Source organism: Homo sapiens, chromosome 8 (genome assembly GCF_000001405.40).
Source record: "Homo sapiens chromosome 8, GRCh38.p14 Primary Assembly".
Classification (NCBI taxonomy): domain Eukaryota; kingdom Metazoa; phylum Chordata; class Mammalia; order Primates; family Hominidae; genus Homo; species Homo sapiens.
In genome coordinates this window covers 52,227,745-52,244,974 of record NC_000008.11, presented here as the reverse complement: position 1 = coordinate 52,244,974, position 17,230 = coordinate 52,227,745, and the positions used below count along the sequence as shown (strand labels likewise).

Sequence of the window (17,230 nt, the reverse complement as noted above, 5' to 3'; positions counted from 1 at the left end):
CAAAAATTAGAGTATACAACCTATTATCTACGGAGTCCTGGATCTTTTTTTGTGTGAAAGACACCAGTGTATACCAAAAGGGTTAAAGAAAATGCATTCTGTTGCATCTGCTTACTAAATCCCTTACTTTAGTAGAAATTCAAATTTTGTAAAGATTATTCGTTTTATTGATGCATATAATTATAATCACAAGCCATCTGCTGGTTTGGCAGGCATGGTTAAAATTCTCTAACTCTCATAACCTTTCAAGTACAGTGCCCTTGGGACTCTATTTCACTTTTATATTTTGGAAAACATGTAGGGACAAATAAGGGCGGTCATCTGCAGAATGTCAGACCTGGGGAAATGGAAGAACAGGGATAGGAGTGGATGCTGTGGTTATTTTAATGGTAGAGGAAGTTATTTTCTGTTTTCTTTTTTTGCTTCTGACTTCATGAAGGATTATCCTAGTTTCTGTGATGTATTTGGGAATTTTTTTCCTAGGGATTATAGCTCTGTCATTTCATTCCTGAAAGGCAGGTTCCAACTCTAAACAAAATGAGCAAACAAGAAAACTCTTCCAGAAATTGCTTACATTGGTTTTCACAGGTAAATTAGGTACATTTCACTTAGACTTTCAGAACTAATAGAATATCCCACTGATATTTATTTTTCTGAAATACTCACATTCAATTGAAGACCCTTCCAGCCTTAGATTTCAGATTATAGAACAGCGTGCGGGTTTCGATAGAGACCTTTTGGTTTAAAGGTCAAATTTCCAAGCATTTTTATTTTGGTATAAATCGTGTACTGACCAGGTTTCCCATTCAGTCTCACCATGGCCCGTCTTTGCCACTGTAAACATTTGAAGTTTGGTGAAGTTCCATACCCAATGCCCTACTTCCTTGGGAATGTTTCTTCCATAATCAAGTCTTATCAACTGGAGGATCCAAGGGTCAGGTTTTGCATATTAGCGTTAGCACACAGGCCATTATCACAGGGACTGCAAGTAAGCTGAGGGGAATTGAAGAAGCCATAGGATCCAGGGCTACCTGACTTTGTCAAATAATGGAAACATGCACGTGCACAGCTCTCTCTCTCTCCCTCTCTCTCCCTCTCTCTTTCTCTCTTTCACACACACTCCCCATCACCCTGCGGAAAATCATTGACAAGAAATATGTCAGGGTTTGGCAAATGAGAAAAAGAACTTGTGGTACCAACATTGTACATATAATTTGTTCAGAACAATGATGATATATGTGGCAATAATTATAATAATGGTCCTTAACATTTGCGAAGTGCTTACACTGTGCCAGGCATGGTGTCAAGTTCTTTACATGCATTATATAATTTAATGCTCATAATAATTCCATTTGTATCCTATTTTTACAAATGAAGCCACTGACTAGAGATGTGAAGATGCCCTTCCTTATGTCACCAGCCTTGAACCCAGATTGAGCCCAAATCTGACTGCTCCCCAAACCCTTTCCCTTAATCTCTCCTTAAGATATAGGTCTCTGGGAACAGAATAGAGAGGAAAAACCTGTGTCAGCAATATAGTGTCAAATGACACTGAGTCCCAAGTACTCCTGGGTTCCAGTCATAGTTAAATATCATTAAGTAGTTGAAAGATCCTGATGAAGTGACTTGACAAGTTGTTTTATTTTTCTTATTAATAGCATCTGTCACATTAAGGATCATGCTAGGGGACCCCTGGAGACATTTTCATCCCCCAAATTCTATAACTCCATGAACTTTTTAAAATTAAAACATCCTATGAATTTGAAAAATAATTCAAAGACTGGAGAAGCACTCATTATACCTCTGTAAGACATGTATATTTAGCACACCAATTAACCTTGATATCAGAAGTAGACTGTTCTGAGAATCACAGGAGCTTCAGCTCTGATGCTACATATTAGATCGAAGGTTCAACATTTGGCCAAATAGCTAGAAATCTTAGCTCTGTGAGCATAAACATAGATACATAGAAACATAAGGTAATTGAATTCTTCCTCTGAGTATTTTAGACTCAAGCAGAAAACATTTTTGTCCAATAATAAGAATAATAAAAGCACTGACATAGAGCCAACCACTCTTCTAAGTACATTTTTTTTTTTTTTGAGGCAGAGTCTCACTCTTGTCACCCTGGCTGGAGTGCAATGGCATGATCTTGGCTCACTGCAACGTCTGCCTCCAGGGTTCAAGTGAATCTTCTGCCTCAGTCTCCCTCCCAAGTAGCTAGGATTACAGGTGCCTGCCACCACCCCCAGCTAATTTTTGTATTTTTAGTAGAGGTTTCTACTAAACCTCTACTAAACCATGGGTTTTCGCCATGTTGGCCAGGCAGGCTGGTCTTGAACTCCTGACCTCAAGTGATCAATCTGCCTCGGCTTCCCAAACTGCTGGGATTACAGGCATGGGCCACAGTGCCTGGCTACCTAAGTACTTTATATCTATTAATTCTTTTCATTCTCACAATGTCACCAAGGCGACAGTCTATAAGGTAAGGTCAGCTAGCATTCCCTGTTTATCATGGAGAAAACTGCACCATGGAGAGCCATGCCATTTGCCTGTGATGCGCCGGGGCTGCTTGGTCAGAGCCTGGATTCAACCTCAGGCACCATAGCCCCCAGAGGGGGTGTGCAGCCACCCAACAGTCTGCCTCTGTGCTTTTACTCTATGGGCTTGTCACTAAGATTGCACTTGAAAGAAGGCTCAGTTGCTTTAAAATATATTTGAAAAGATAGATTACAGGTTGCTAATATGTTTAGACACACTGTAATATTTATTTTGTATTTTAGATCTTCATTAGGCAGTTACTGTTATAATGCTTGTATAGTTTCCTCAAATTATTATAGATTAATCTGCAAGCATTTTTTATTCTTTTGAAAATGCCATGTTGAAAGTGTACTAATAAATAAAAAGAGTCAAGTTATTGAGGGTTGACAAAAATCACTTAGAAGAGAAACTGTATTTAAAATCATTTTATTCTCCTCAGTACCTAGCAGAGAAACTTTAACATATTGAGAAATGTATACATGTTTGTCTATGTAAAAGAAAGCATGTAGAAATGAAGAATTTCCCCAGTTTTGTGCCTCTAATGGAAAAAAAAAAGGAAGGAAGAGTTTCAATTACATTATTATAGCTCCTCCTAGGTAGATGCCACATCATGTTCACAAGAGATTAAAATATTTTATTTCAGCTGAATATGATTTAAAATGATTTTGTATTTTTCATGTACTAAAGTTTTTAAGACAGTGAAGTCAAAAACGTAACTATCAGAGCTAGAACATTGTGAGCAAGTTATTTAGGTTCTGTGCAATCAGTTGACTAAGAAATATTTACAAGCCTAAAAGTATCAGAAGTATAGACAATGAATATTAGCCACACCATCTGCCCCTAACAACTTTATGAGCCACAGTAGAAGAAAGTGATATGTAGGCAAAGCTGCCAACCTTGTCTGGGTTGTTGTTCACATGCTAGGGCAGGTTTGCACAGCACCCTCTACAAAGACAGAATAGGCTGTGGCCACATGCAGTTTCACTATACTACTCAGCCTTCTTAATGTATGTGGGGCCAGAGCATCTCACCAGGCATAGCCAATTCTATTTTTCCTCTAAAAAATAAAGTTCTGGCTTAAAGAATAGAATGACCACCTTTGTTTAGAGGAAACATCAGGGAAGATTTTATAGAAGAGGCATTTAAGGAGTCTTGAATCCATCCATTCAACAAACATATTGAGCATTGACCAGGTTCCAGCAACTGAATCAAGAAGTGAGGATGCAGACATAAGTACACAAGGAGCTTATTCCAATGCAGGTGACAGGAGCAAATGACAATCACAGTACAGTAGGACCTATGCGAGAGGCAAGCCCAGGACATACATTTGAAAACTGGTAAAGAGTCATAAATGACAGGCTTCTGGTTTGGATTACCAGATGAATGGTTAGCCAAGATAGGAGATTCAGAAGGAAGAGGTTGTTTAGAGGAAAAAATAATGGGTCCTTTCTTGTACATATTGAATGAGAGACAACCGGGTGGTGATGTTGAGTGTACAGCTGATCAGTGGATCTGAAATTCAGGAGTGAGACCTGGGATGAAGAAATACACCTTTGGGTGTGGTTTCCAAGGAGAATATATAGAGTGAGACATAAACCAGAGACATAAGCAGCTTCTTCAGGAAAAGACTGAGCAATCATGTGAGTTGCTCTGAAAATCCTGCACCATTAGATGTGCCAGATAGCAGGCCATGAGTTGTGTAGTGAAAGCAAGGTAAGAAAAGAAAGGAAATCTCTGGGAATATTAAGAAGTTTGACCCTGAAAAACAGAGATAGTAATATATAAAGAAGAAATGTGTTTCTATGCTGAGGAGAAAGAACCAGGAGAGATAAGAAGACAGAAAAGTTTTAAGATATGGAAGAAAGAAAAAGTAGATGAAATAGGAAACAAATGTAAAGTGAGCCCAGTGGAGAACCCATCCTTAGAAAGGAGAGGATCTCTTTCTTCCTGTTAAACCAGAAGAAAGAAGGAAAGCACGCAGATTGAGACACCTTTATAAGCCTACGGATGAGATGTTAAGACTATTCAGAATTAATAGTCTCAAAATTTTCTGTATAATAAGGTAGCAAAATTCCATAGACTCAGTGTGAAATGGTTTTAAACTGCAAGTTCCTTTAACATGTTAGTTTTTATTAATTATTATATTTACATGGTATAATTAAAAAGATATTCTAACACAAATTTTATATTATCATACATCAATTATATATAATTGATGTTGGCATAGAAACTCAGAAAACTAAAAGACTAATGAGAACCAGAAAAGCTAGCAATTTTTCTCTTGGATTTGAAACAGTCTTAAACAATTTATGCAATTAGAAAGGCTAAAGGGAAAATGGAGGCTGGGCTTGGTGGCTCATGCCTGTAATTATAGCACTTTGGGAGGCCGAGGTGGGTGGATCTCTTGAGCCCAGCAGTTCGAGACTAGCCTGGACAATATGACAAAACTCTGTCTCTACAAAATATACAAAAATAAGCCAGGTGTGTTGGCATCTGCTTGTGGTCCCAGCTACTCAGGAGGCTGAGGTGGGAGGATTGCTTGAGCCAGGGAGGTAGAGGCTGCAGTGAGCCATGATCATGCCTCTGCACTCCAGTCTGGGTGACAGAGTGAGACCTGTCTCAAAAAAGGGGTTTGGGGTTGGGAAATGGAAACCGTTCTCCCATCTGGGGTCCTATAAGAAAGAATAGGAGGCGTGAGAGAGGGAAGACTTTGGCTTCTCTAATAGAGACCACACGTTGGGGAGTTAAAAGTCATGCGTTTGGATCATAGCAAGCAGCTGATACATGTCTGTTCTTAATTTCTGGTGTGGCTTTTTGTTTTTTTGGTATTTTTCTTTTTTATAATGGGGTTAGAACTTCAACTGCTTGCATTCTCTTCACCTTTACCACCTCCACCTTATCTAGGCTCATCTTCTCATACCCAATTGACTGCCATGGTCCAAAAACTGATTTCCCTGTGTGATGCCAGCACTCAAAGCTGTCCAAGAGCAGCCTATCATTCTTAAAACAGCATGCAGGCACCTTACTGTGATCTGTATGGTTTCACCTGTTTTCTTAACAGCTTTCTTGAGATATAATTCACATACCATACAATTTGCCCATTTCAAGTGTACAGTTTAATGGTTTTTAGTATATTCAGAGTTTTGCATTCATCACCATGGTCAACTTTAGAACATTTTTTATTTCACAAAAAAGAAACTCTGCACCCCTTCTCTATCACCTTCCAAAGGGAAGATGCACCATCTTCCTCCTAACCCTGGGCAACAACTCATCTACTTTATGTCTCTATAGATTTGCTTATTCTGGGCATTTCATATAAATAGAGTTACATAATATGTGATCTTTTTTGCCTGGCTTCTTTCACTTAGCATATTTTCAAGGCTCATCCATGTTTCGGCATACATAAGTACTTCATTCCTTTTATTGGTATAGATATAGGGGGTACAAGTGCAGTTTTGTTACATGGATATATTGCACAGTGGTGAAGTCTGAGTTTTTAGTGTCACCATCATCCAAATAGGGTATCTTATACCCATTAAGTAATTTCTCATCCCTCACCCTCCTCCCACCCCCCACCCTTCCGAGTCTCCCATGTCTATTATTAAACTTTCCATGTCCATGTGCATACATCATTCCCATTTATTAGTGAGAACATGTGGTATTTGACTTTCTGTTTCCAACTTATTTCCCTTAAGATAATGGCATCTAGTTCCATTCATCTTGCTACAGAGGAGATGGTTTCATTCTTTTCTATGGTTGAGTAGTATTCCATGTTGTATATATGTATGTGCACATGTGTGTGTATACCACATTTTCTTCATCCAGTAATCCGTTGATGGACAATTAGGTGGATTTCATGTCTTTGCTATTGTGACTAATGTGCTACAAAAAACATACATGTGCAGGTATCTTTTTGGTGTAATAATTTTTTCCTTTGGGTAGATACCAGTGGTGGTATTCCTGGATTGAATGGTAGTTCTGTTTTTAGTTCTTTGAGAAATGTCTTTACTGTTTTCTATAGAGGTTGCACTAATTTAATACTTCATTCCTTTTTATGGCTGAATAATATTCCACAGATTGGATATACTACCTTTTTTTTCCTTTGATTGGTTGATAGACATTTGGGTTGTTTCCAATTTTTGGCTACTGTGAGTAATGCTGTTACGAATATTTGTGTACAATTTCTCAAGTAGACGCATGTTTTCATTCTTCTTGGGTATGTACCTAGAAGTCAAATTGTTGGATTATATAGAAACTCTATGTTTAACCATTTGAGAAATTGCCAGCTATTTTTCAATGTTGCTGAACATTTTACATTTCTACTAGCAACATGTGAAGGTTGGATTTCTTCACATCCTCATCGACACTTGCTATTGTCAGTCTTTTTTATTTTAGCCATCTTAATGGGTTCACAGTGGCATCTCATTGTGATTTTAACTTGCATTTCCCTAATGACTAATGATGTTGAACATCTTCTCATGTGCTTATTGCTCATTTGTATAACTTCTTTGTAGAAATGTGTATTCAAGTCCTTTGCCCACTTTTGATTGGGTTGTCTTTTTATTATTGAGCTGTAATTGTGTTTTATTTATTCTAGATACAAGGGCTTTAACTGTTTACACTATGGCATATGGTTTTGCATCCTTTCTTCAATCAGCAAAGGTCATTCCTGCCTCAATCTAAAATAGCCCATCCTCTAGCCTACATTATTGTCCCATTGCATTTATCACTGCTTTCAACTGCATTGCATATTTATTATTTCCTTGTTTTTGAGTTTGGCTCCCACACTGAAATATAATATCTGTGTTATCCACCCTTTCATCTCCATCACCCATCTTGTGATGATGATAGATTGTTTTAATTGAACAAATGGGCTTTAGTGCAAGAGTCCAATCCCAGTGCTACTCCTCAGGAGCTGTGTGACCCCAGGCAAGCACTGAGGTGCTCTGCATTTCAATCTCCTCACTTGAAAGATGGAAATAATTAATAGTTCCTGATTCATATATTTGTTATGCAGATTGAGTTAATATACATAAAGCATTTATAATAGTATCTAGTGTGAAGAAATAATAGAATAATAAAAAAGAATATTTTTTAATGAATGCTTAACAAATTATCCTACTAACTCCATGTTCTCTTGAAGAAAATGAGCTGCTAAATCCTCAGAGATTTAATTACTCTCATTAACACAAGTCCTCACCACGCCCACACTGGGGCATTCATTGTGGACCACATACCTCTGGGCTTTGTCTAGGGACTGATCTCTTTTTGGATTATGGCATTTTACTGAATGTCTACTATGTACTATGCCTTTTATCCATGGCATCTCATGTGATCCTTGGAGCTCTAGAGGGAGGATCTGTTATATCCCTTTTAACAGATGAGGAACCTGAAGGTGAGGGAGGTAACTGCAGTTCTGAGATCACAGAAGAGCAGAGTTAGGATTCAAACGTAGGTTGGTGTTACTTGAGAGACAGAGTGTGTCACCATTCTAACTCTGCTGAATTAGACAGTGCTCACAGTCTCCAATCATCCATAAAGTATTTCCCAGGTCATTTATTGCTGTCCTCCCCAACATACCAGTTTTATGATTTTTACCTTATTTCAGTGTTCCCATTATCTTAGCTCTTATGACTGGTGTTCCAATGGTCTATCCAGTCTATCTCCTGTCTAATTCAGCACAAAAGCTCCCATTCCCTAAGAGACCACGCTATCATTGTGGATCTTTCTATGATTTTTCTCAAAGAAAGATGCCATCTTAGCTAGAGCTACACAGCAGAAGGAATGTTGGCATCAGATATAGTTTTTTTTTTTTTTTTTTTGAGGTGGAATTTTGCTCTTGTTGCCCAGGCTGGAGTGCAGTGGCACCATCTTGGCTCACTGCAACCTCCGCCTCCTGGGTTCAAGGGATTCTCCTGCCTCAGCCTCCCCAAGTAGCTGGGATTACAGGCACCCGCCACCATGCCCAGCTAATTTTTGTATTTTTAGTAGAGACAGGGTTTCACCATGTTGGCTAGGTTGGTCTTGAACTCCTGAACTCAAGTGATCCACCCGCTTTGGCCTCCCAAAGTGCTAGGATTACAGGAGTCAGCCACCGTGTTCAGTTCAGATATAGTTCTGAATACTAGCTTGTACTGAAAGAGTGACTTAAGTTTGCTCACCTTAAGTTGGGAATAATAATGTGAACTTCCTTAGATTGTGGTGAGATTTAAATGCTGTAACTATGCAATGTCTAGTCCGATGCCTTCATCAGTGTCAATGTACAGAGACTGCAGCAATTGCTGGAAGCCTCCTCTGATTCATGCTTACCTGTTGCCTCCTTTAGACCATTTTAAAGCATCATCTGCTATTTTCTACTTCCCACCACTGCCACTATTTAATCCAAGATCAGTATGTTGCTTAGCATATTCATGTAGATTGTCATGATAAATAATATTTTATTTCTTCTATTATCTTTTTATTTATTTCCTGGTATTTTCAGAACTACCCAGTTTAGTTTAGTATTTTCTTTTGACATTTTTAATATGCCAGTCATTCCTCTAATTGTAGCATATGATTGATCTGGCAGTGGCGGTCCTTCAATGTTAATATCCCCTCCCCCTGCACCAAAGTTGACAGTTGTGCATGTGTCAAAGATATAGTAATGCTACACAGGCTTTTTACCCATTTGTATTTTCTTAATTTGTAAAACTAATCTCAACTTATGAGTAAACTGTTCATAAGATTATTTCCTACTTCACTAGTTTTCAGATATTACCTGTTTTAAGCTTCACATGTATGAGTCTTACAAATGAATCTGAACTGCATGTTTTCACCAGCATCACTTTTTGCTACAGGCTGTGGATATTTACTGTTTTATCTCTAAATATTTGGTCCATTGTTCTCCTAAAATTCAAATCACAGGGTCAGGGGCATCATCATAGTTCCCTTTTTCGTTAATATAACAATTAGTCAGCTGGTTCCCATGTGAAGATGCCATGCCCTCAAGAGCACCTTGCTTATGAAAGAGAAGCAGAGAGAAGAGCACCCTTGCCCTTCCTGTAGGTGCTTCCAGTCTGGAGCTGACCGTGAGCTCTGAACTAGGACTCCTCAGTGGGCCAGGGGCTACCATAGGAGCAGGCGTGGTTTCCTGTGGGAACTCGGAGACCAGGTGTGGGGCAGGAGGAGTTCAGGAGATGAACTCTAGTTCATCTAGCTTACCACGAGGCAAGAATTTCCTTTAAGGAGCATTCTTTTTTTTATTTTTTATTTTTATTCATTTTTAAGTGGCATTCATCGTGTAATTTTTATTAATGCTTATTGCTTTTAAAACTTTTGATTTCCATAGGTTTTTGGGGAACAGGTGGTATTTGGTTACACAAGTAAATTTTTTAGTGGTGATTTGTGAGATTTTGGTGCACCCATCACCCAAGCAGTATGCACTGAACCCAATTTGTAGTCTTTTATTCCTTACCCTCTTCCCACCCTTTCCCCTGAGTCCCTAAAGTCCATTATATCATTCTTACGCCTTTGCATCCTTGTACCTTAGCTCCCACTTACATGTGAGAACATATAATGTTTGGTTTTCCATTCCTGAGTTACTTCACTTAGACTAATGGTCTCCAACCCCATCCAGGTTGCTGAGAATGCCATTAATTCATTCCTTTTTATGGCTGTGTAGTATTCTGTCACACACACACACACACACACACACACACACACACACCATAGTTTCTTTATCCACTTGTTGATTGATGGACATTTGGGTTGGTTCCGCATTTTTTACAATTGCAAATTGTGCTGCTGTAAACATGTGTGTGCAAGTATCTTTTTCATATAATGACTTCTTTTCCTCTGGGTAGATACCCAGTAGTGGGGTTGCTGTATCAAATGGTAGTTCTGGCAGGGCGTGGTGGGTCATGCCAGCACTTTGGGAGGCCAAGGCGGATGGATTATGAGGTCAGGAGTTCAAGACCAGCCTGGTCAAGATAGTGAAACCCCATATCTACTAAAAATACAAAAAATAGCCGGGTGCGGTGGCAGGCATCTGTCATCCCAGCTACCCAGGAGGCTGAGGCAGGAGAATCACTTGAATCCGGGGGGCGGAGGTTGCAGTGAGCCGAGATTGAGCCACTGCACTCCAGCCTGGGTGACAGAGTGAGACTCTGTCTCAAAAAAAAATGGTAGTTCTACTTTTAGTTCTTTAAGAAATCACTGCACTGTTTTCCATAGTGGTTGTCATTCACTTTGAAAGCACCTGGTATAAATTAGATCTTTAAAGGCTGGGATTCTGTAGTTCTTCTAAGGCATTTTTTGGAAATGCCTGCACATGCTTTTTTTGGAAAAAAGTTAACATAGCCAAAAAATACATAATCTGTTACCTTGGACAGAAAACCAAGAAGGATTGGACATAGAGTCAGAACAGAATGGTGGTTACCAGAGGCTGGGGTTGTGGGGACTGGGGAGATGTTAGTCAAAGTGCAATGTTTCAGTTAGGCAAGAGGAATCGATGATAAATATTTGAGGTGATGGATGTACAAATTAGCTTGATTCAATATTGTATACACACATCACTTTGTATTCCATAAATATATAGTTATAATGTGTCAATATCCAATAACAAATTCGATTAAATTTAATTTACTTTAAAAAGAAACCAAAAAAGTCAGATTCCCTCAGTAATTTGCCACAGCTAATGAGACACTGTTATCTAGAGAGAAGCCAATTGGCTGGTGAAAGCCAATGAAAATAATAGACTTAAATTGGATAAGCATTGGACGAAACGCCTGATATAAACTGTACGGACCTCTCATTGGTCGTGGGAGACAACTATCAATCAGATGTTCAAATAACCAGAGACGCTTACTTAGTCTGAATCACTGTAACTCTTGAAAGCCATCCAAGGAGAGAGGGATCAATTAGGATCTTGACTTTCACAGCCAGGCTTACACCATGACAACAGAGTGTATGTCCATCCTAGATCTGTAGGATTAGGAATTCTTCTTCACTCAAACTACACACCCTGGTGTTTGTACTCCTAGGGTGGAGTTTTTGTCAAGCTCATCAGATTGTTCTCCCATGTTACCGAGAAATAAATTTGGCCTCCACATCTTCAGGGAGATTTTTATTTTATTACCTCTTTGATTTATGCAACAGAAATAGATTCACTATTGGAGTGGCATTCACCATACACCCCTCTCCACTCACGGAGGACTCCACTGATTTATATAAACATTCTCCAGAAGAATAGGTGCTTAATGAAGATTTGAGTACATAAATTAATGAATTAATTAAATAATAGTGTTCTGTACCAAGAAGGTTAGTTACACTGGTATTAATCAAATTTTTTTATTTGTGATATTATTATCCTCTTGTATTTAGATGAGACTGATATTTTAAAGTAGCTTTTTAAAATAAATATCTGTGGAACAGCAAAAACAATAGGTGGCAGTGAGAATTCAGAAGGGGCACTGATTCTTTTAAAATCTTTCTCATGTGCTTACATTCTCCCAGCTTTACTGGAGAACTAGTTGATAAGTTCATGTTTAGAACACTAACTAGTCCTTCCTGAACTGAGCAGATCACTGCTAAAGACCTAACTTCTGCTTGGTAAATGACTTGCTGTTTAGAGACGCACCCTCCATCTCTTTACTGAAAGATATTCAGCAGATGTTTTATTCTATAATTTATCTTATTATTTCCTTCTTCCTAAAATATGTATTCCTGTGAACAGTATTGCAAAATACCCTTGTAAAAGCTTTATCACAGAGATATTTACATAAGCAGCAATGCAAATATATTTTTAGTATTAGACTAAAATGTTTCCATCCTCCAAGAAGTTTTCAGGATAATACGTTCTTCAAAATAGCAATGATCAACAAAGAACACCTCATATACCACTGTATTTAAGAAACACGTTGCACCATTTGGAAAGTAAGTCAGAATTTACTAGGGCTGATAAAAATATTGAATGTCTCAAGGAAATTTGCATATTTATTTGACGTTTAAATTTGTTTTTATGATATAATTTGTAATTAATTCATTCCCATATTTTATTTGCTTTTGGCAAGTTTAAATATTGTGCAAACTCTTAGATTTGTAATTTGTGAGCTTATATTTGATAATGGCACCTTGAATGAAGAAGTACATAATTGCTGTTTCTTTCTTGACACGAATGGCTTCATCTGAAGGGAAGATCAAGTTCAATAAGCTATAAAGTGGTTCTGAGAATGTACTTCAATGAGGGGCCAGAACATTCACTTTTTATCTGTTCCTTTCTATCATAAAGTATTAAAACCAGAGCAAATAAATAGCTCAAAAATAAAGTGGAAGTGCTTCTGCTCTATGTGGGTATATTTAGCTTTTGGGGTTGGGATTCTTCAACACATTTAATAGTGAATACCTAAAGCAGTAGTTTTCCAAGTATGGTCCACAAACTTATCAGCACCAACATCATCTGGGAACTTAGAAATGCACATTCTCGGGTCCCACCATAGATCTACGGAACGCATAGCCTGGGCTTTCACAAGACCTCCAGGAGATTCTGATGTCACTGATGTTCCAGAGCCACTGCTCTGACACTTTGCTGTTCAGTGCAGTCCATGGAGCAGCAGGAGAACCTGGACCCTTGTGAGAACCTCAGAGTTTTGGCACCAGAATGTGCCACTTAAGAAGCCACCCGGCCGGGCACTGCAGCTCACACCTGTAATCCCAGCACCTTGGGAGGCCGCGGCTGGCGGATCACGAGGTCAAGAGATCAAGACCATCCTGGCCAACATGGTGAAACCCCATTTTTACTAAAAATACAAAAATTCACTGGGCTTGGTGGCCTGTGCCTGTAGTCCCAGCTACTCATGTGGCTGAGGCAGAAGAATCACTTGAACCCGGAGGCGGAGGTTGTGGTGAGCCAAGATCGTGCCACTGCACTCCAGCCTGGTGACAGAGCAAGACTCCGTCAAAAAAAAAAAAAGCCACCCAGGTGGTCCTGATGCATATTAATGTCTGAGAGCCACTGTTACAACATATTAAGATTTAGAGTCAGGAACTTACCAGTGAGAGGATATCCTTTACTCAGAGGCATTCTGGAAGCTAGGAAAGTGGAACTCAGTGGATGCTTACTGTTTGGACATCCGTCTCAGTTACCTCTGGAATTAAAAGGAGGGAAGAGATGCTTAAACTTCTGTTGGAAGGATGGAAAATATATAAGGGCACACTGTGTCTGCATTATGGGATGGAAAGCAGAGCCATTATATAGATAAAAGAGCTATTATCTGGGTAATAAATTGTATATATATGCATACATACACATACATATATATAATTTCCCACAATGATCTAGACATATTAGGTCAAAACACAACTTTCAAGTCCAACTTTTTTTGTGTGTGAAACTCGCAATTTTCTAATTCACTTTTCATGTACGAGCAATGCTAAGATATTTTGGGGGTCTGTTTCTCTTAGGTTGTTTTTTACCTTGAATCTAATTTTTCTGTAGTATGAGTTTTTCAGGAAGTCTTTTTACCAGTGACAGAAGTTGCAAACTTTTGAGGCTATCCTTCCACCCTATAGGGTGATTGTTCTGTCGTCAGGGCATCAGTGAGACAAAGCTTTCTGTGGAGTTGGTGAAGTTGGTGAAGTTCGCCTCTTTCCAAGGGTTCGGCAGTATTTTATATCTACTAGTGGTGAACCCAGGGACCTGGGAGGAAAAACAGTAGCTGACCAAGTAAAACCTTCTTTGTAAAAATATTTTTAGCGTGGAAACACATGAGAATTAAAGGATTTTTTAAAAAAAATCCTTTTGAAATCTGTACACAACATGCCCCCACCCCGTATGTAAATGGGACTGTCACTCCTGTGTTTGTCCACAGCTAGAGTTCCAGATGAACCAGTGTAGTGTGCAATGACAGGAACAGCTGACTCATTAGTAGAGAGCAGTGAAAGGTAATTAACCCTGGGAAAAGTACAGCTGCCGTGCGGGCTGTTCCTTTCTGTAGGATCTGATTAGAAATTAGTGTTAAACCACTGATTCTTTTTTTTTTTTTCTTCAGAAAAGACTGTCATTGATAATTCACTTTCACTCTCAGGTGTGTCCCTAGAAAAGGTTCTCAAATATACTTATAAACAAAAGGGTTCGAATCTAAAAAGCATTTTCTGATAACAGTAGACACCTGTTTTTCTTGTTAAGACAGAGTTCTTTCAAATGAATATTGTTTGACTATTGAAGATTGGTAATACTTCAACCCATATTCCAATAGTCAGCATGGAAATTACTTGAAAGGATGGTTTTATATAGTTAATAAGCTGTAGATAAATACCATTTAATTATGTTTTCTTTTTGTTTTTCTTTCCATTTTTCCTCCTCCGATGCTTTTCCTCAGGAGTGATGGAAACTCTCCAGTTCAGATCCAGTAGCTTTTAGGGAAGGTAAGTAAAAGCTATTTAAAAATAAACTTTTCCCCCAAAGAAAAAGAATCTCCAACTTTTCAACATCCATCAAAAACCTGAGAAGTTAAGGAACTTCATTTTAGAGGACCAGAAAAGATGCTTGCTTTGGTTATTGTTGGCATCCTCATGGTAATTTGGGTTATGTTCATATAGATTTTTGAGGAGTGTTTACACCTGTTCATCCTGATTCATGACTTCATATGTTTGATATTAGGGGCATTAATATGTAAGACATTCAGAATTAACATGTATGATTTTAAAATGTGGTAGACAGGATAAAGTACCCCTCCCCAAAATATCCATGAAATCTCTGAAATCTGTGATTATGTTATCTTGCATGACAAAAGGGATGTGATTTAATGAAGACCTTTGAGATTATCCTATTTTTCTAAAAAAGGCCAACTAATCACATGGTCCTTCAGAAAAAGGCCAAAGAATGAGTTAGGGAGATGAGATGTGAGCAGGACTCAACATTACCCGCCATTGCTGGTGTTGAAAATGGAGGAAGCAGGCCATTCACCGAAAAAGGAGTGGGCTGTGGAAGCTGGGAATGGCTCTCAGTTTACAACCTGCAAGAAAACAGGGACCTCAGTCCTATGACAGCAAGGAACTGGATTCCACCAACAGCCCAATGAGTGAGGAAATGCATTCTCCCTTGGAGCCTCCAGAATGGAATGTAGCTTAACTTGGTTTTAGTCTGGTGAGACCGTATCAGACTTTGGACCTCCAAAACTGTAAGACCTTTGTGCCTTTTTAAGCCATCAAATTTGTAAAAATTTGTTATGGCAGCAATAGAAAACTAATACATAGAATAAGCCCACCAATAGATGGGACATATTTTGCAGCTGGCAGTCTGAATCCTATGAGTAAATTCCTGTATTTGAATGAAGAGAAAATGTTCTTGAGAGGCTAAGACTGATAGTCTGTAAGAATTGGAATATTGATTTTGTTGATCCAAATGATAGTTATTGCCAACTCAGAGAGTTCTGTTTTCTACTTTGTGACACCCCTTCTTCATCAGAAATTCTTTATATGATATATTTGTAAATGCAATACCTGTGTCACTCAAGGTACAAATGAGTACATGCTTTATTGGACTTTTTAGTGAGTCCATGTTTACCTAAGCATTGCTGAGTGGAATGGAACATCGAGGGGTAGAAGGCCAGGTCTCTGCTGCAGAGACCTGACAGTCAAAGAATGCCGAGTCTAGTGTTTGAAAGCAGATGGTGGCCATGTGAATCCTGGTTCTACCTCTTTCTACCTGTGTGAACCCCGGGTAAGGTGGTGAGCTCAATTTCCTTCCTTTTCTCATATGTAACATCAATAATACTTCCCCACAGGCATGGTAAGATGACTAAGTAAGATAGTACATACAAATTCTCACAAGAGTGCCTGCCACTCTGTGAGTTTGGCAAAGGTGAGGTGTATTTATTTAGAAACTACTGTGCCGCCTCACCATTTTGATTAAAAAAATAAATTGGTTTTGTCTTTACTTATGGTGAGTGCCATTTTCTCTCCCACACAAAAGTCATCAGTATGAATATATGAACACACGTTGCTTAAAATAAATGTAGATGCACAACAGTCAGGACATTCTGGAAAATGTAAGTGAGAAAAGTGAAGTCTAAGAACTAGGGACTGTGTTATAGTTTAAATGAGTTGAAGATCTTCCTATATAGTTTTCTTTCCATATTTGGAAAAATATGACTATTATTTCTATTTTACATTTGACTTTTATTCCTGCAAAAGGACCCATTTAAATCATAAGCCATAACTTTTCATGTAAATGAGACAAAAGTAGACATTTGAAAAAATCTAACCATAAAATCTATTACACTTCACACTTGCTCTCCTTTGCATGTTGGGAGCTGATGTTTTCAACATAAGAGAAGACAAAATTGTAAATTCTCCTTAACTGGCATAGCAATCAAACAGACAAAATCTATAGTATTCCAGATGCTAAAATGTCTGGGTTGTTTTGTATTGAAATCCAATTAACAATTATCTCAAGCATCTGAAAAGTGTTATTTTTTGCTTATTTCAATTCAATTCAATAATAATGTATTGAGCACCTATTATGACCACAAAATTATGTTGCATCAAAAGGTCAACAATATAGCCATTTGCTTCCATGAGCCTACATCAGCCCAGGGAAGAGAAACTGGACCTGGACAAGCTAATATCAGGCAGAACATAGTCATCAAGATGAGAGTGCCATCAAAACGCTATTGGAATACAGAATTCTGGGCGATGCTGTCAACCACAA

At 38.5% G+C, this 17,230-nt stretch overlaps 1 protein-coding gene across 63 annotated transcripts in view; it reads left to right on the top strand.

Moving 5' to 3' along the window:
• Nucleotides 1-17,230, top strand: part of ST18 (ST18 C2H2C-type zinc finger transcription factor) — a 299,042-nt gene that overhangs the window by 164,905 nt on the left and 116,907 nt on the right. For 59 of the 63 annotated variants that reach the window (NM_001352871.2, NM_001352836.2, NM_001352872.2 and 56 more), the window contains one exon: nt 14,898-14,943. The exons of 1 other annotated variant lie outside the window; for it this stretch is intronic. The gene's annotated coding sequence lies outside the window, so the exon portion shown is untranslated. Of the gene's footprint in view, nt 1-14,897; nt 16,457-17,230 lie in introns of those variants that run through there. 3 more of the 63 variants (NR_148195.2, NR_148196.1, NM_001352881.1) reach the window with 1 other exon arrangement.